The sequence below is a fragment of the Homo sapiens genome, chromosome 5, assembly GCF_000001405.40.
Source record: "Homo sapiens chromosome 5, GRCh38.p14 Primary Assembly".
Classification (NCBI taxonomy): Eukaryota; Metazoa; Chordata; class Mammalia; order Primates; family Hominidae; genus Homo; species Homo sapiens.
The window spans coordinates 109,978,601-109,999,411 of record NC_000005.10 but is presented as its reverse complement, the minus strand read 5'-3'; the positions used below and the strand labels follow the sequence as shown (position 1 = coordinate 109,999,411).

General features: G+C 38.2%; 2 annotated features.

Annotated features, from left to right (window-relative positions):
• Positions 6,401–6,935: an enhancer, noted in NCBI's record as "NANOG hESC enhancer chr5:109328178-109328712 (GRCh37/hg19 assembly coordinates)". NCBI's record gives its function as "activates a minimal SCP1, AML or CMV promoter by ChIP-STARR-seq in naive H9 embryonic stem cells {active_cell/tissue: H9 hESC(naive)}" and the evidence as "EXISTENCE:reporter gene assay evidence [ECO:0000049][PMID:30033119]".
• Positions 8,670–8,964: an enhancer, noted in NCBI's record as "tiled region #2532; HepG2 Activating DNase matched - State 5:Enh". NCBI's record gives its function as "activates a minimal TATA promoter and a strong SV40 promoter by Sharpr-MPRA in HepG2 cells {active_cell/tissue: HepG2}" and the evidence as "EXISTENCE:reporter gene assay evidence [ECO:0000049][PMID:27701403]".

Genomic DNA, 20,811 nt, shown 5'->3' with positions numbered 1-20,811 from the left:
GATTCCTGCCATAGGTGACCTCATTTTATGTATCCATGACTTGCACTCACCCAGAGATTACTCTAAATTCCTTTAGTAGACACTGCAAAGAGCTCCTGGGGCAAGGACTGTGTCTTATACACAGTGCAGCCTTCCAAAACCTAGCATAGCATCTGGCCTACGGTCAATACTTGATCAATGCTCAGGATTAAGAAACTATGCAGGATACAGGTGACAGTTCATTCAATCGGAAGTCTCCTCATATTGTTGATAGACCCTCTGCTGTTTCTGGGTTTTCCCGGAGCTGTTATTTTGATCCTTAATGACTACAACCAATTCAGGGAAATATGAGGGCATAAGAAATTTGTGTTCAACATTCAATAGTAGGTAAATAGGTTTTATTCCTCAGAAATATTTTACTGAAAATGTTTGCCTGAAAGTATATTTTCTTAGACTGGAAAGATTCTAACTTCTCTGAGCAAGTTCCAGAAATGCTGCAAAGATGATGAAGTTATCATAAATTAGTTCCAGATGTCACCCTTTCTGTAGAAGTTATGAATACCAGGATAAGTTTGGATGGGAAAGAAGGGGTAGGGGGTAAGGATGAAAAGACAGTTTCTATTTTTGTAAAATTTTGGAAGAAAATGTCCGAGAAAACGATTAAAATGCTTATCCTTAATTTAATCAAAGTATTATTTCCTATGTAAATTTTCAAAGGTGTAACTTTCCCTTTACAAATGTCATTTGACTCAGTGTGATCACCACCTATAGAGATTTAAGGCTATGTGTAGATGACTCGGGACTTGCATGCTTTAAAAATATTAAAGAAGCAAAAAGTTGATAAAATAATTTTTAAAGCTGATTACAATTTAAACAATTTAATGGTCCCAAATCAAGCTGCATTAATAATGGAAAGTTCTTGTGGAGCTAAGAGTATGTGGCAAAGATTGAGAGAGCAATTAGGTTAAATCAAGAGTAAGCTGGATCCTTTTGCAATTGAATTGCCTACTTGTCCTGCAAAAGCAAAGACAGGAAGTTAGGCTGATTCCATAGGGTTAGAGAGTGAGCTGTTCAGATAAGGTCAGAATGTAGACTCCAGCCTAGCAATATTATGTGCTGAGGCTAGTGCTAGTAGTGGTGAACAAGACAAAAATACAATACTTGTCCTCAGGAAGCTTACACTCTAGTGACAAAGAAAGACATTGAAAAAAACAACAACAAATTTGATGGGGTGGGGAAAGAGGGTTTCAAAAGTTGGACAGAGTATTAAGAGCATAAATAACAAGAAAACCAACCTCTTCTGTGGTCCAGAAAAGTACATGGTGTTTAAGTTGAAATTTGAAGCTAAATAAGAGTTGACCAGATGAACAGTGAGGCAAAGAGTATTCCAGGCTAGGGAAATGCATACAGACTCTTAGAAGCAAGAGAAAGTAGGGTGGACTCCAGTTCCAGAAAAAGTTCAAAGAAAGTAGAATATGAGAACAAAGAGGCTAAAGAGTTAAGCAGTGTCAGGTGTTGAAGTCCTGATAAACTATGGTAAATAATTCTAGATTTCATCCTCAGTGCCTCAGAAAGCTACAAGTTGGGAAAGGCTTATTGACAACTTTTCAAATCATTTCCAGAGAAAAGGTAATTACTAGTGATGGTACCCTGGGTCTCCAGATATGTTTCAAACATAGTTTTCATTTAAAATTTTGCAACTCATTCACATATTTGAAAAAAATAATAAAGAAAACACTAAATGAGTGGTTTCCTAGAAATCAAATTCAAGTGCAAATGTTCCCACTAATTTGCCTTTCCTCTTTAACATCCCTAATTTGCAATGTAAGCTTTCATTAGGAAGCTATGGTAATGGCTGAAAATCAAGATAACCAATAGAATCAGATGTGTTTTAGGTATTGTGATGGCGAAATGGCACTAGAGTATTTGAGATCCTCATTGTTCAGCTCCTTCCATGCTTCAGGCACAATCAAGAAGTAAAGAGAGACCTAATCCTATCAACCAGAACAATTCTTCCCTCAGGGTAGTCATTAAGTCAGGTGCAAAGTGAGGTGTTTTAACTTCTAACCTCAAGGGCTACAGTTAGAGCACTGAAGCAGTCACTTGGAAATCTCAGCTTTCACCAGCTGTATTTATTATGCTTATGTTATTTGTTCTTCCAGTTTCCCTTCCCCCAGAGAACGACTCCCAAAACACAAATATTTCCCCATCCCGCTTATAGAGAAATTCCTTTCACTAGGGGACAAAACATTTCATTCTATATACAATGCTTAGAAGCCAAACACTCCTGGAGGAAGTAAGGTTTCCAGTTTAAATTTTCAAAGGAGGCTTCTCCACAAGCCATCCCAGGGCCTTCAAAGATCTTCCTTTACTCTGAAAGCCCATCCTACTGTGTAAATTGAGAATAATCCTTTCCTTGTGCAGGAAGGGAATGCAAATGAGGAAGGAAAGATTCAAGGGTACCGAGCCTCCTGGGGATGGGAGGGGAGAAGAAACAGAAATGTTTGTCAGGAGTGTGGCTGAGAAAAGACTCCTCCTGACTTTCCAGGGGTAGCCCTCTAAGCAGACTACTTGTTTGGTTATTTCCAAGAATATCCTCCAACAGAACAAGGAATACTCAGGAGATTTTCCCACCTACCTGCAAGGTTTATGCCAAGACTATTATGGCCATTGAAGGGGAACAAAGGCATAAAATAATGTTTTGCCAGGAAATAAAGGAAAAGAAAAAAGACTGCAGCACTATAATTAGGTATTTGGCTTCACTGTATTTCAAATTGAGGTTTCCAATACAGTTTTGTTCTCTTCTTGAAAGGGCTAATTATACTGATGTTTCCAAAGAAACACGTGATTGTTACAGTGGTTTTATTAGCAAGTTTTCCAGAGAGCTGGTATGAATTAAAAGCAGGACCAGTTCCATTCAAAAAATATTTGGTCGTTTTATTTTCAAACTCTGAAAGTAGGAGCACTCATATTTATAGATCCCTCTGTACACATAGAAATGTGCAGAGAAGCAGCCAATGTCTGCCTTTGGCTTTACTTCCAAGGAAACTGGAGGAATTACTCATGCACAAATAAGTACAAATAACTGTCTTTGCAATCATACAGAACAAACTTATGAAAATACAGAGATTTCAAGTGGTATCAATGCACAGAGGCATGTATTTGTTTAGTTGTTTATTAGATTTATGAAATTGTGCTTTTCTGTGATGCATACTCTTCAGGGAGCCAGTGCAAAATAATGTTTAATTAAAATAGATAGCAAACAACATTGAGTGCCATATATTAGCATCAGTGACTCACTGTAATAAAAAGAAAGTTTTTCTCACTAGGGCTTTGCCAATCAGGGCAGGCAGAGAAATTTCTACAAATGAGGACCCTCCACGGGAAGTTTCATCTCCTCTTTTCCTGAAGGCTGAATTTCTAAACTGTAGCTGGAACGCTTCAAGTCAGGCTAATTGTGATTATGGCACATGGGGAAAGGTGCTGGTTGAGTTATTTAGGGACTTAGAGGCCAGTGTCTTAGAATTGCTCTAGGAACAGAAAAGGAAGCTTGAGCATGCTGAGTCCTTGTATCCCCATAGCTCAACCCATTTAACAGTCAAAGAGTGACATTCTATATTCCCAGAGGATCTCAAAGGTACAACACTCACACTCAAATTGTACCCAAATACTGACAGACTCAGGGAAAATTGATGGCAATGAAATCACATACAATGTTACACACCATACTTCTCAGTCCGTTTTAAACTTCAGTTACTAATTTACAAAAGCACCCTCCTGATCATTTCAGTCTTTGGTTGAATAAAAAAGAGCAAGAGATCAGCAGCCATGTGGGCTGTAAAGACAGCAACTATCAAGGGAAGCAAAGGATGGGGGTGAATTGGATTTAATCAGGAGTGAATTGCTTGATGATATAAACTGAAATGGTGCAATTCTTTTAAGTTCTAGGACTGTTAAGTTATTCAGCTGTATTTGAGATTAAGTCCATTTTTGGAAATAAGGACTTCTATTGTTTTGGCCTTCCCAAAAATCATTCCTCTTTTTTCAATTGTTATTAGGGGAGCATCCTCTTCTTACGCTCAGAACCACTGCAGTGTGAGGGGATGACTAACCCACCCATCTCCAGCTCCAGCATTAAATGCTTGACCCATGACTGGTCAGGAAGAGTTGCTGGACCCCTTGGCCACAATAATTGGTTCAGAAATGCACATACACTCAAGCATGGTGGGCCTATAAGAGCATGAGAGCAAGTCATTGGGTTTTGTCACAATTAGGCAGAGTTTTCCTTGGAAAGGTAGGGAGATTGTTAAGCTAAGGAGATATGAGCTAGCAGACCTGGATACAGGTGTGGCCAGGGCTAGATAAATTCTTATTCTGGTTAAGCCAGTTTGGATTGGTTTCTCTTGCTAGGGACCCAAGAAGAATTGATTGACACAGGAAGGGAGCTGGGATGTCCACAGCACCTGATACAGGTATGCTGGACAGAGTCCTGGCTGGGAGTCGGGTCCTTAAGATTTCATCCTCATTCTATTAATAACTGCATGATTATGGGTCAATCTTGGCCTTTCTATCTGTGAAATCATTGAAAAAACTAAAAATTGGCAGTTCTGAACTTTTTTAAATAATTTTTTTTCAAATCAATTCTTATTCCAAGTTCCATTACCTGAAATAAATTCAGAGCAGCAACAATAAGCGTATTCCTTGAGCATGTACTCTGCAGGTGCCTCAGTTTTAAATGCTTCATGTGTATTTCACTTATCTTGATCTTCACAAAATCCTCTAAGGCAAGGATAGCTATGAATTCCATTTTGTAGAGAAAGAAACTAAAGAAAAGAGAGATTAAAACTTTCCCAAGATCACACAGCCATACCCAGTGAGTCTGGGATACGACTCCAGCCCCAAAGTCTGTGCTCCCTACCACTCCACACTTCACCAAAGCTCCTCTAGCTGAAATGGGGTAGGCAGACTAGAAGCCCACCTCTGAGGCTTCACTAGAAAACAATAGCACTTTGACGAGCTTGATAACCACAAAACTTCATGACTTCTAATATTTATTTCAGCTTCAAATATTTGCATACCTATGTGCTCAGCATGTTGTGCAATGCCAAACACGTTTTGACATACCAGTCCTAACACAATCTGGGATAATATTCTGAGAACACCTCTGCAAAGCCCCAGAGGGATTGTCCCACCAGTGTAGCCTCTAATCCCATTTCTGGGGCAGCAGGATGTCTCAGAGCCAATTGTCAGGAAAACCATAAAATAGAGAATGCTTGACCTCTGACACTATTGTACCTCCTTCTACTTCACATCATTTCACCTGCAGGCAAAATGAATTTGAGACCAGAGACAACTCTAGAAGATGGTAAACCACCATTTCTATAGACCATGTTCTCTGCAAGACCCAGGCACTTGGAGATGTGTTTGGTGCACTCAAGGACTTGTGATACAGGAATCTGGTCAATAGTTGGAAATACAAGACCACGAGTCAAAAGACAGGAGGAGGCTGGAGATGTTCATTTGGAACTAGGTCATTGTTCATGTCATAGCTATAGTGAAATTGCTTACCAAGCAACAAGACGAAAGAGCCAATAATTAAAATATTAATGTTGTAGGGATGGAAAGAGGAAAATGAATTAGGAAAAAAACCAAGGAGAGTGTGGTCAGAGAGGTTAGAGAAATATGTTTTGTTTCTAGGTGCGCAGTTGATTCTTTCTTGTTTTAATATTTTTCTCTTTCTTTTCTGAGCCCACGTTCTCATTCTCATCAACTGGCCAATAGGTAGTCATTTATTAATAATATATTTGATATATGGTTTTACTTATGCTTATAATATGTATGGTCTTGTTTTTGTTGGTGGTGGGGTTTTTTGTTTGTTTTTTGTTTGCTTGTTTGTTTGTCGTTTTTGAAATACAGGCTCACTCTGTCACTCAGACTGGAGTGCAGTGGCACAAAGCTCACTGCAGCCTCAACTTCCCAGGGTCCCAGGCTCAAGTGATCCTCCCACCTCAGCCTCCCTAGTAGCTGGGACTACATGCCTGGCTAATTTTTTTTTTTTTTTTTTTTTTTTAGTAGAGATGGAGTTTCACCATGTTATCCAGCCTGGTGTCAAACTCCAGCCTCAAGCAATCCACCCACCTCGGCCTCCCAAAGTGTTTGGATTAAAGTGTTAGGGTTAAAGTGTTAACACTTCAGGATTACAGGCATGAGCCAATGTGCCCTGCAGGTCTTGTTTTATAAATATGTAAACCTTTAGATAAATATTATTGTATTAAAATTTCATTTTATTTCCTACTTTTTCCACTTAATTTTTTTTAAAAAATAAGAATTATTTCATGCTTTATATCAAATTTGTGGTTTTCTCTTCCCATATGGTATTCTATAGTTAGATCTATCATATTTAAATCATCCATTCCCAAAATGATGCACACTCAGGTTCCCTCTACAAGCAGACATGCCTGTTTCTGCTTCACATTACAGTACCTTCTCTTATCAACTGGAAGATAATTATTGTGTATATTTCTAATTTTTGATCTCTCTGTTCCATTCATTCTGATTCTGTTCAGGGTGTTCATGATTTCCCTTTTTTCTTGGCTGTGCTGTTCACTCTCTGATTACTTTGCCTGTGACTCTTCCTTACCCTGGAGGCATCAGCTATTGTTGTTGGTAATGTGTTCACAATCTGGGTTTGATCACCCCCGACTGCTTTCTGCTTAGCAAGTGACACTGCACCTAGGAAACCTAAAGGGAAGGAATGCCTGAAAGTGGGCCAATCAGTCTATCCTTGTGCCTGTCTTCTCCCAACCGTACCCTACTCCTAGAATTATCTCAAGATCTCCTACCCCTACAAACAGGGCTGGGGCTGGAATGTTTTCCTATTCCACTATGGAGAGAAAAAAGACAAGTGCCCATTAGCCATTCCTGGCAATGTAAGAGAGCAAAGTGCGCAGTGAAGATTCTCCCCAACTGTGGCAGCTGGCCATTCCCTGCCTCTGCTTGTCACTTCCTATGCGTGATGTCACAATTGTACTCGCTCTTCCCAGGGTTTCTTACGGTCTTTGCTTTCATTTTTTTAGACTCCTACAAATTCTTTTACTACTGAGGAATCTCTAGGGTAGGGCTGGGGAGACGACCGGCACGTTGTGTTCATTCACCATCCAGTCAAGACCAGGACACAACCTCAGGCCTGGGTTTGTCTCCCCACTAAATTTGAGTCTGTTTAAAAGTAGCTGCTGGGTCCCTATATATACAAACTCCCAACTAGCTCAATGTCTAGAAAATCACAGACAACCAACAAAAGTTTGTTGAATGTTATGGATTGAATTATGGCCCCTCACATAAAAGATATGCTGGAGTCCCAGTCCCCAGTATCCTGGGATGTGATCTTATTTAGAGATAGGGTCTTCCCAAAGGTAATCAAATTAAAGTGAGCTAATTGGGGTAGACCTCAATCCAATATGACTAGTGTCCTTATGATTAAGAGGAAATTTGAACACATAGACAGACATACATAGAGGAATAACTACGTGAAAAGACACAGGGAAATGATAGCCATCTATAAGCCAAGGAGGAAGGCCTGGAGCAGATGCTTCCCTCCCAGCCCTCACAAGGAACCAATCACTTTCAGCCTCCAAAACTATGAGACAACATTTCTGTTGCTTAAGCCACCCAGATTGTAGGACTTTGTTACAGCAGCCCTAGCAAATGAATACATTGATTGGATAAATACATGAATATCATAAACAAAAAACAGAATGAAGACAATAATAAAACAGTATGAGGGAGAAGACAATTTCAAGGAGGAGGATATAATTTTCAGAGCTAGATGCTGCAAACAGTGTGGACAATTAGAATAACAGGACAATTAGAAGTTCTGTTTTGCTTTCTTTCTTAATGTTCTCAGTGAAATCAGTCCTAGTGGGATGGTGGAGGCAGAGCCCAATTACAAGGGGAAGAAAAGTCTAAGGAGACATAAGAAAGTGGGAGGAGAATACAGTCTCTTAAGAGTTTGAAAATGATGGAATTTCCTTTAGGATGGAGAACTGAGTCTGTTTGGGAGATGAAAGAAGCAAGCCAAAAATGGGAAAAGGCTGACAATACAGTAATATATAATTAGAAAGTATAATACACTGCCTTCTCTAAGCTGCCTCTCTGCTTCGGCATAAACCACAGCACTAACTACTTCTATTTTCATCACTACATTGCAGGCAACCCTTCTCTTTGTCATATCAAGAGACATTTCCTATTTCTTTCAGCCCTTGGACTACTTTTGCAACTATCTGTGTCAATAGACAAGTTAATAAGGAAGAGATTTGCCTCCTGTAGAATGCGCTTTACCCTGGTCTTTGCATAGCCTCCACCCTCCACCTCTTTTTTGTTCAGAAAGTGAGTCCATCTGTGTTCCAGTTCTTCAGCACTGATTCATAAATTAATCCCTGCTAAAAATGGAAGCTAGCTAACTGGCAATGGCTAAAGGTATGATGGGCTCTATCATAAACACACACACACACCACACACACACACACACACACACACACACCTGGAAATATGAACTATTGAAATCTGAAAGCCTGTCTCCAAAGAATCTAATTATAAACTATTCCTTGGGAAGATGAAAGTTTGGAGCTGGAAATATTTTAGGATGGGGCACTTATCAAACCTCTTTTAAATAATACTTAAAATACTTTATACTTCTTCTACCTAATCTACAGTAACTCTCTGTCTTTACTGGAAACTCGCTAATTTCCAGGTACAGCATACCTACCTGTCTTTGAGATCTCAGTGTTAAGCATGAAAGGAGACAATGGCTAACAAGACAGGACTTTGGAGTCAAACAGTCCTGGATCAAAATTCTAGCCCCATCAATTATTAACCAAGCAACCTGGGGAAAATCACTTAACATTGCTAAGTCTCATGTTCTCTCTTGTAAAATATCATAATAATACCTGTATCTAAGGGCTGTTGTTAGTTATCAAGTGAAATAATACATATAAAGCATTAGCTCTTGCCTAACATGGAATTAAGTGTTCTTCAAATGTTAGCATTCGTTATTATCCCTAACACAAATCCGACTCTAAGCAAATCAACCCATAAGCTAGTCTGCCCCACTGAAATTTAATTTCTTGTTAATAAAGAAAAGTATTTTTACCACTATGCAAAATGAAGCTTCTTAAAATACAAATACATTCCTGGTAAATGTAGTTGAATTGATAGAGAATAAGAATGACTGATGGTAGCATTTTGAGGAGCACATTTTGATGACAGAAGTGCAGGCAGAGTGGAGCCTGTGCTACTATTAGTTTGGTGCAAAGGTAATTGCAGTTTTTGCAATTACTTTCAATGGCAAAAACTGCAAACCTAATATATGGAGGAAACGCATTGGAAGAAAAGGCAGCAGCTGCAAAAAGTAAATTCACCTATTTGCCTATATTACCTGACTTCCCTGGGTGAGATCAGCATTAAAAAGAGGGTAAAGAGGGTATGTGGTCTCTGAGCCAAGTGCAGTGGGACACGGCCAACCTGGACACAACTATTGGGATGGCAGAAGCAGGTAAATATCTCAGAAAAGTCTAGCATGACAAACTTCAGTAACCAAGACATTGTCCTCAAATGAAGGACAATGGTGCCCCTGCCACACTCAATGCCTCCTCCTAATATTGGATTCAACTCATCCTTCTGCAAATTGAGCCACCATGGTTAAGTTTGTACCTAAAAGATTTTTTAAATCCAGATTTTTTGGCTTTTACACACAGTACAATTATACTTTTCCTGACTTGAAGCAGCACATGCAAGGCCCGAGATTCATGTATATAGTGCAATTATTCACCTGTGTTTTCAATAGAAAAAGAAGAAAAAATAAAACATAGGTACACGACGCCCCTATGCCAACGAACAATAAGCCGTCTCACAAAACGTGTGAGTGCTTTAAGAGGGGTAGATATAACATATGATGGCCATGTGGGCTAAAATGACTTAGGAGTTATCTGTGTAGACAATTCAGTGACCAAACAGCTTAGTTTTTGACCTATTGATATCCAGGACTGTGTACGTTTTCTAGGACCTCAACATGACCTCACATAGCAAACACTGAAAAACCACTGAGTTCACTGATTTTGCTGAACTTACGATTTTGCTGAGCTTACTTTCTATTGTAAGCTTCTATCCTGCCAAGCTTCTATCCAAACTTGCTTCTATCCAACCAATAGAAACGGAACAGGAGAGCCTATAGCATTAACAGCAATGACTACAATTAACACAAGTATGTAAAATAATCCAATGGGACCACTGAACAATCCTGGGCAATAAAAGCATTTCTATCCAAGCCTGGCAGGATAGAAGCTTACAACAGAAAGTAAGTTGACTTATACACAATAAGAGATAAGACATGACCACATTTAGATACACCTCACACCCTCCAGGATAGTTATAATAATAAAGATAGATAATAACATGTTGGTGAAGATGTGTAGAAATTAGAATCCTTGTATATTGCTTGTGGGAATTAGATGGTGCAGCTGCTTTGGAAAACAGTTTGGCAGTTCCTTGAAAAGTTAAACATAGTTGCCATATGGCCCAGCAATTATATTTCATGCAAGAGAAATGAAAACATATGTATACGAATGTTCAAAAACTTGTACACAAATATTCATGGCAGCATTATCCATAATAGGCCCAAACTGGAAACAACCCAAATGTCCATCAACTGATGAATCAATACACAAAATCTGGTATATCCATACAATGGAATATCATTCGGCCATAAAAAGGAATGAAGTACTAATTCATGTTTCAACATGGATGAAGCTTGAAAACATTATGCTAAGTGAAAGAAGCCAGACACAAAAGTTTACATATTGTATGATTCCATTTATATAAAAGCCTAACATAAGCAGCTCTACAAAGACAGAAAGTAAATTGTTAGACATTAGGGTCTGGGAAGAGGAGGAAATAGGGAGAGGCTGTTAATGGTCATGGAGTTTCTTCCTTGAGTCATTAAAATTCTCTGGAATTAGATAATGTTGATGATTGTACAACCTTGTGAATCTACTAATGGTTGTTGAATTTTACCCTTGTAAGTGTGAATTAAATTACACCTCAATTTTTTAAAAAAGATGATATGTTTACACAATCTGCATTATAGGCTCAAATTTGCAACTGCTACATATTTAAAGTACCTTTATATAGACCTGGCTCATAGTAAAAGCGTGATGAATAGGAGCTATTATTAGAACTTAAGTCAGGATCTGATCATTATCAAAGTGTCAACAATGCAATTTCCCACTAGGCACAAGCTGTTCCCGTCTTGAGGCAAACTTAAATTCTCTTGGTTTCTACTCCCTAAAGCTAAAAAACTCTCTTTTGCCTGATGTAGGCTCATGATCTGGGGAAGGAAGTTGCTTTTTCTCCTCTCTGAGTGGTTCTTACAGAGTCAGCCCAAACAGTAATAGTAAAGGGAAGATTCTCTAATTCATCCCGACTATACATTATCAGGGCTAAAACCCGTTCTATGCTGACACTGAAGAACTGTCCTGGAAAGGAAAATATTTCCACTTTAAAGTTTCTGATAGTATCATATGGGCAGGAGAGTGGGAGGTGTCGACCAGAAATGCGATATTTAAAGGACTTAGATGTTTTAAGAGACTAACAGAGCAAGAGTGGACAAATTAAAGTAGTAAACTAAGAATCAGAGTAGCACAGCTAACATAGGCAGCTCATGTAGAGATTAGGGAGAAAAGAAAATATTCTTGAAAATGTCCTCCCAAGTTCAAAAACAAACCTCAGTTCCCCTCAACAGAAGGAAAGACTTAAAATAAAAAGACCGTGGCACAGCTGTGAAGCAAGGCATGGATTCTTTTCTTATGACTGTTAAATGTACAGTCCCCTTAGAATGGAAATAATGTTATTACCCTGGAGGGGGCTCCATTATGATGCACACTGGTTCATATTTTAGTTTAGAGCACAGGTTCTTAAGAGAGTGACTTATTCCTGAAGGAATAAAAAGGACTTTGAGAAGAATAAAAGTAGTCAACATTATTATGGGGCATTGACATAGCAATTTGCTTGTAAATGATTTTAAAAACTACTGCTAATAATACACCTTATTGTATATAGTACTCCCAACCAAAGCCACCTTGGGTAATCAAATTAATACAAGGCAATAGAAAGGGAATGGGAGCGCATATAGCATTAACAGCAACGACTACAATTAATACAAGTACATAAAATAATCCAATGGGACCACTGAACAACCCTGGGCAATGAAAGCATTTTTCAAGATATACCATTTAATGTGGTTGTACAGCAGAGTAATATAATGGGGGTGAATAGTATTTACTAAGGAAAGAAATTGATGCAAAGAGTGAATGCTCAACAATGGAGGTTTGTCTGTATGCTTGACTTGGAGGTAATGTTCTTTTCTTTACCTCTGATCAAATTGCAGTCCTAAATGGCTAGCCAGTGGAACAGTAGTATCACTGTTGTCAAAGCTACTGTAAATCTTCAACTGAAAGAGAATGTCAAGGTCATTGCTATCAAAAAGCACAATGATAATACAGAAAAATGGCTGCAGTAAGTTGAGAAAATCATGGTAGACACACACACATACACCACTCACGTAGAAAACATGCTTGTTTGCAACATTGCCTATAGGCAAAGTGTGAAGCACTTGAATCTCATTGTACACTCACAATCCGTGAATGCTATTAATAGTTCCTACCTGTGAATGAGAGGTCAGATTTTATGTATCTATGGAATTGAGTGAAGCTTTCAGAAACCCAGAACATCAGGAAGTTTTGCAGAGCAAAACCTCACTCTTTAATCACCTGATCCAATCTGTCTACTTCTCTTGCCACTGCCCAGATCACTAATAGATGATAACATTCCCTGATTCACTAAGCATCCTCAACTGAGTTGCTGATAGAGGGAATCCTTTCAGCTAGTAATATCTATCACTAACTGCCTGCAACTTAGCCTTAACCTGGTCCTCAGTCTCTCCTGACTGTCTTTTAAAGATAACATAGACCCATGTTCGGCCCATTTGACCAGAAGTAGGAAACCTGATTAGGAAGTGATAGAAATTTTTGAATCCTTATAGCACCAATTCTTGAAGCAATTGAAAGGGTGGAGACTAAAGAACTTATTTAGTAATAAGAGTCCTATTTTAAGAATTCACTTGACCACATCAAATAATTCCACTGGGAAAACATAAAGATGAGCCACCTCAACCCTGCCTAAAAGAGATTCTCAAAACAGTGACGTGGCTGATGCAGCCATAGCCTTAAAACTAGACAGGCTTACCCATGCATGATGCCCCCTTGTCAGCCCACAGAGGCAATCCTCAAACATGAGCAAATGGCAAGCTATCACTCAGGACTATCTTCTCCAACTGCACATTCCCTGCTTAATTCCAGTGGCTTTTGCTGTGATAAAGTGTTCTCAGCTCTAAATAATGGCTCCATAACTCCAGTTATGACCTTTCCTTTGTGTCCTCCAGGTTTGGCATTAACCTTACTGGACGGGCTTCCAGATAATATAAGAGCCTGCGCCTCCAAGCCCAAGTCTCGAGCACTGTAATGAGTACAATCAGCTTCTTTCATCTTGGGCTTGCCTGGACACTTTGTCAGTTTCATTCAGTCAGGGAGGATTTAGGAGTTTAAAAGTAGAAAGAAACAAATTCCAAAGAGGTGGTTGCTACCGTTTGGATGTTTTGTCTTCTCCAATCTCATGTTGAAATGTGATTCCTGTTAGAGGTGGGGCCTGGTGAAAAATGATCGGATCATGGAGGTGGCTCTTGCATGAATGGTTTACCACCATCACCTTGGTGATAAGTGAGTTCTTCCTATTTGTTCATGTGAGATCTGGTTATTTAGAAGAGTCTGGTGCCTCCCCCTTCTCTCTCTCTTGCTCCTGCTCCATGTGATGTTCTAGCTCCCCTTCACCTCCCACCATGATTGCAAGCTTCCTGAAGCCCTCACCAGGAGCTGAGCAGATGTTGGTGCCATGCCTATACAGCCTGAAGAACTTTGAGCCAAGTTAAACCTCTTCCTTTTATAAATTACTCAGTCACAGATTTTCTTTTTAAATAGCAACACAAGAACGGACCAACACAAAGGTGATTAGCAGCAATATGAGGAGAACAATGAGCAATCACAGGTTGTGAGATTTGGTGACCGCAGGCCCACCAGGTGACTAAAGGGTAAAAAAGTGGGTAGGCAGTGAGGAAGTAGACATCCAGAAGCAAAGACACAGGTAGAGTAATGTGTTGAGACTGTAGCAAAATTAAAATTCAGGTTTTTAAGATTGCAAAGACTTGAGCATTGTATGGAGGGTTTATCCTTAGAAATGAGAAGGGCCATAATTCTCAGACATTTAGAGAAAATAGTAAATGGAAAAGATATAGCAAAATCTTTGTAAGGAAAAAAGGAAGTTGAGAGAATTTATATTTATTTATCTTGATGACTTCTCTTAGAAATATTCTTTATTATATTTATTTAAGATGTATGGCATGATGTTTTGACATACTTATATTGATATAAATATACATAGTGAAATGATTACTAGAGTCAAGAAAATTAACATATCTATCATCTCATAGTCACCATCCTCCTCCTCCTCCTGCTCCTCCTCCTCCTCCTTCTTCTTTTTTGTGACAAAAGTACTGTACTAGTCCATTCTTGCATTACTACAAAGGATACCTGAGACTGGGTACTTTATAAAGAAAAGAGGTTTAATTGGCTCACAGTTCCATGGACTGTACAAGAAGCATGACTGGGCAGGCCTCAGGAAGCTTACAGTCATAGGGTAGAAGGCAAAGGGGAAGCAGGCATGCCCTACATGGCTAGAGCAGGAGGAACAGAGTGAAGGGGGAGGTGCTACACACTTTTAAACAACCAGATCTTGTTTTTTAAATTACACTACAGTTCTTTTTAAAAGATCTTGTGAGAACTCACTCACTGTCACTAGAACCACAAGGGGAAAATCCTCCCCCATGATCAAATCACCTCTCACCAGGCCCCTCCTCCAATATTGGGGATTACAATTCAATATGAGATTTGGATGGGGACACAAATCCAAACCATATCAAGTACCTAAAATTACTTACAAATTACCAGTATACAATATTATTAACTATAGTGCTTATGTTGTAATTAGAACTCTAGACTTATTGATCCTACATAACAGCCACTTTGTACCCTTTCACCTATAACTACCCATTTCCCACCACTACCCCTGCCTGCGCGTCTCTGGTAATCACCATTTTAATCTCTGTTTATATATATTCAATTTTTTTTAAGATTCCACCTATAAGTGAGATCATGTAGAATATTTTTTTTCCTTGTGTGGCTTATTTTACTTATCATAGTGTCTTCTGGATTCATCCATGTTTTCCAAAATGGTAGAATCTTTTTTGTTAAGGCTGCAAAATATTCCATTTCATATATATATATATATACATATATATGTGTGTGTGTGTGCGCACGCGCACAGTGGAATATATATACGTGTTTGTGTATATATATTGTATATATATATACACCACATACCACAATTTCTTTATCCATTCGTCCATCAGTGAAAACTTCAATAGTTTCCATATCTTAGCTATTGTGAATAATGCTGTAATGAACATGAGAGTCAGATATTTTTAGTAAGTGGTGATTTTATTTCCTTTGGGTATACACCCAAAAGAGGGCCATCTTTTTTTTTTTTTTTTTGAGATGGAGTCTCACTCTGTCACCCAGGCTGGAGTGCAGTGGCGCGATCTCGGCTCACTGCAAGCTCCACCTCCTGGGTTCGTGCCATTCTCCTGCCTCAGCCTCCCGACTAGCTGGGACTACAGGCGCCTGTCACCACGCCTGGCTAATTTTTTTGTATTTTTAGAACAGACGGGTTTCACCAGGTTGGCCAGGATGGTCTCGATCTCCTGACCTTGTGATCCACCCACCTCAGCCTCCCAAAGTGCTGGGCTGGGCCATCTTTAAATTACAAGATAAGTCATCTTTTGGGAATAAAGAAACCAGTATCACTGTCAGTATCTGCATGCGGTTGCCAGTAAAGTGTGATGAATAAGTAAGTTGGATGCCAAACAGCTGTAAGCATCCAGCCACAACCAGACAGCATGAATGTGCAGTCGAATTATCCTCAAAAATACTCAGAAGATTGAGATCAGGCATAAGGAAGCCAGGCAGTGCACAGAGGACTAACCCAGTGAGGGCTGAAGGATCTGAAAGTCCTGATAAAAGTCACTGTGAAATGGCTACAGGTCATGAGTCCACAACAAAAGTGCTGAAAGGAGAGAGGGACTCCAAGAATAAATAAGGATTTTATGGTAACAGTACATTCTAGGTTCATAATACTGAGATAAGTGGAAGAGAAAGAGCTGTAAGACTGGAATTGTCAACAGAGATAAATGGAGATAAAAAATGACTATAGCTCTGTAGGTGAAAGGGGTAGGAAGCCAAGTTGATAAAGGGCCTCACTGGAGAAACAAAACCCCCTGAAGCTGAAGCCAGGGTGCAAATCAGAGAAAGATAAACCAGAAGGCTGATGTTGAGGAATACAGTAAACTATCCCCCTGAATCCATTACCTACCTTCAACAATTATCAACATTTTGTCAGTTTAATAGGGATCTTCTGCTCTTAGCCTCAATATGACAGAAAGCCCTTAACAGGGTTACTTAGGAAGATTTAAGAATATGAGAAAATGGCTGGGCACAATGGCTCATGCCTATAATCCCAGGTAGCCTTTGGGAGGCCGAGGCTCGTGGATCACTTGAGCTCAGGAGTTTGAGAACAGCCTGGACAACATGGTGAAACACTTTCTCCAGAAAAAAATGTTAAAAATTAGCCAACTGTGGTGGTGTGCGCCTGTAGTTCCAGCTCCTCGGGAGGCTGAGGTAGGAGGACCACTTGAGACCGGGATATTGAGACTGCAGTGAGCTGTGATCACACCACTGCATTCCGGCCTGGGTGATGTAGTGAGACCCTGTTTCAAAATAGTAATAATAACCATCTAGTACCCCTAGAGTCAACTGGATAATCAAGCACACACAGTTGATAGAGACCTGTGAGTTAACACTAACATTCTAGTTGGTAGTTGATACAGATGAGTAGTTAATGGGCATGAGTATAGTAGTATAATGGTAGGTCTATGGTATCCAGAAAAACCCAAGCTATCTTTTACACCATTTCCTCTCTCTTACTCTCCTTCAGTGTTTCAGGAAATAGGTAAACACTATCTGGATGACTAATACAATCTATTTAACAGGACATTTGTTTTTATAAATGTCACATTAACTACACTGTGTCATATCAGATAGTAAAGATATGCAAACCAGATTTTGTTTTAAATTCAATATTACTGTGATTTAGAGAGTATGACTGGCAGTTCTGAAGCATGAGAAAAACACCAAGGATTTAAAAAATTGTTTCTAAATTCCTGTTATTTATTCCATCTGTTCTCTGAGTTGCACATGTATATTTTTAACATGGTTCTAGTTTTGTCAATTCACTGATAGTTTTCTCAGGGAAATACTTAGTGAGTTCAATCAATATCCATTTTATTGCTAACAATCTGCCTTCTGTTAAAAAAGCCAGAGTTTTGACTGTCTTTCACAGGAGAAAGAATCCAATTCGTGTATCCTTTAAAATGTAGAGGCAAAGAATCATTACTAAGGAGTTTCGTCTATAAGCTAAAGTTGATGCATTTCTGTATCATATTTGGAATACATTTTGCATTCTAAGTATCATTTGAGAAAAATCAGAAGCCTCATTCCATAATTCAGGAAATACTAATTCTTAGTTAACTTTTAATTGTACTGGTTAGTGCTTCTGCTTCCATCCTTGGTGGAGTAGCTGACATCAGATTTGCCTTTCTCTATAAACAACTGGGAAAGTGAACAAAATATATGAAGCAATTATATGCAGACATTGGACAATAAGCAGCCTCAGAATGGAATTCCTGAAAGAAGAGAAAGAAAAGAGATAAGCCTTGAAATATCCATAGCTTTCTGCCTAAAGGAGGAGGAACCAAACCAAAATATATTACCCCACCTTCTGGTAATATAGTAATCCTTAAATGGTTATTGAAAGAAATTATTTCTGCATCATTATGAGAGCAAGATTTGTTAAGGATGGCATAGCCAAGGAAAATAATCGCTAGATCACTTGTCTGTATGCCTCAGCCCACAATCAGCTCCAAAACAGATAAATTCTCATCTGCAAACATAGAGGAGTTGTTCAAACTAAAGGAGAAACTGCTAAAAATACTACAATAGACTGGAAAAGGGCTATGGCAACTCTATAGTGTACATCTGTTTGAGTGACACATATTTATGGGTTTTTTAATCTTGGCATATTTATTGTTCTTACTTCATTTATCAAAATGTTCAAAACTGAATTCTTTCTTCTATAATGGCAGGTGATCTAACAAGGGTCTTGCATTCTCCCCAAAAATGAGGGAAAAGGAAAATGGATGAAAACAAACATGGACTAAAATTTAGAGAAATTAAAACAAATTAGGATAGGAAAATAAATAAGTTATACACCACCACCATTCCACAAAAAGGGAGTCTGGTTGCCTCAGGGAAGTAATCTACTAACTATCTGTTTTGTTTCTTGATAGTGTAAAAATTTCCTCATGGATCTGTCTGCATCTGCCTTTTGGGCAACGTGATTATTGTCGGTTATATCATTGCTACATTACTAAAGTCACATGGTCTTCCCTTCCAAAATTAATTTACAGAAATTCTTTATAAAATACATGTTAAAATTACAATCCTATCACTAACGTAGAATAAAGGAAAACAAGGAAAAGAAGGAAGATACTGAGAGAGGAAAAAAAGAAAGGATGAAAGGAAGAAAGGAAGGAAGGAAGGAAGGAAAGAATACTAAAAATACTTTTGGCAATAAATCTGAAAATTCAAATGAAATTAATAATTTTGTAGAAAAATAGATATTACCAGAACTAACGCCTAAGTGAAAAATGTTTTATCTTACAATTAAATACATTAAATTAAAAGTTTTAAAATCTATTCACAAATTAGCACTAAATTCAGAGATTTAAGTTGTTATTGTTGTTTTGTTTTGTTTTTTGAGACAGAGTTTCACTGTTGTTGCCCAGGCTGGAGGGTAATGACACCATCTCAGCTCACTGCAACCTCCGCTTCCCAGATTCAAGCAATTCTCCTGCCTCAGCCTCCCGAGTACCTGGGACTACAGGCACCCACCACCACACCCAGCTAATTTTGTACTTTTAGTAGAGACAGGGTTTCTCCATGTTGGTCAGGCTGGTCTCGAACTCCCAATCTCAGGTGATCCACCCACCTTGGCCTCCCAAAGTGTTGGGATTACAGGCCTGAGCCACTGCACCTGGCCCAGAGATTTAAGCTTCTATCTTCCAAAAAGTTCAAGGAGCATATCTGTACCTTAGATTTAGGAGGAGAGAACTAAAGTTTTTTTGAAAAAAAAATTTCAAAAAAAAAAAAAAGCCCAGGACTAATTATTTTAAAATGTGCTGAAACCAAAGACAAACTACTAACTAATCGGCTAAAAGAAAACTTTATCTTCAAAGAAGCTAACAAAATATTAAAGTTAATTTTGAACAGAAATGATGAAAACCAGAAAATAAAGGAGTGATATCTTTAAAGTACTAAAAACAAAATCTACCAGTCTAAAATTTCATGTCTAGAAAAAATATTCAAAAGTGAAGGCAAAATAAGTGCATTTTATTATAAATAAAAATATATTGCTAGTAGGCCTGTAATTTTAAAAGTTCAAAGAATTTGTCAGACACATGTAACCACATAAATGCAGGAAATTGAAGCAAGAGCAATAGAAAAAGTAAAAATGTGGGTAAATATAAATTTCTATTGAATAAAAAAAATTTTATAGGATTTAATATATATCTACATTTAAAAGGAACAATAAAAATTATGCAAGAGACAGAAAATGGTCAATTAAAGTGTTTCAAAGTTCTAGAATTTTCAGGAAGTAGTAAAGTAATAGTTAATATTAGCTTATATTATGACAAAGATGCATGCTGTAACTTCTAGGAATTGAAAAAGAACATAAACTATATAGAGGATGAAAAAATAAAAATATATTTAATTAATTTAATAAAAGGAGGTAAAAATCAAAAGGAGCATAAAAGAGGAAGGGAAAATAAAAAATAAATAAAATAACAATACAAATATATATTTATATATAATTATAAAAATAAAAAAGGCTTAAATATTACCATTAAAAGACTAAAATTATTATCTAATATTTCTTTAAAAACAGTAGTTAACTGTAAGTTTCTTTAAGAGACAAATTTAAAATATAAAAACAGAGAAAGCATTAAGATCACAAAAGATACACCATAGAAAGATAGACACAGAGTTAGACAAAGAAAATTTTAAAGCATGAACATTATTAGATATTAAAGGTGTATTGTATTAGTCCATTTTCACACTGCTATAAAAAACTACCTGAGACTGGGCAATTTATAAAGAAAAGAGGTTTAATTGACTCAGTTCTGCATGGCTGGGGAGGCCTCGGGAAACTTACAATCATGGTGGATTGCAAAGGAGAAGCAAGCATCTTCTTCACAAGACAGCAAGAGAGAGACAGCGGGGAAGTGCCACACTATTAAAACATCAGATCTCAGGAGAACTCACTCACTACCAGTGGAACAGCACCTGGGAAACTGCTCCCGTGATCCAATCACCTCCCACCAGGCCCCTCCCCTGACATGTAGGGATTACAATTCAAGATGAGATTTGGGTGGGGACACAGCCAAACCATATCATGTATTTTATAAAAATAAATTTGTCAATCCACCAGAAAGATATA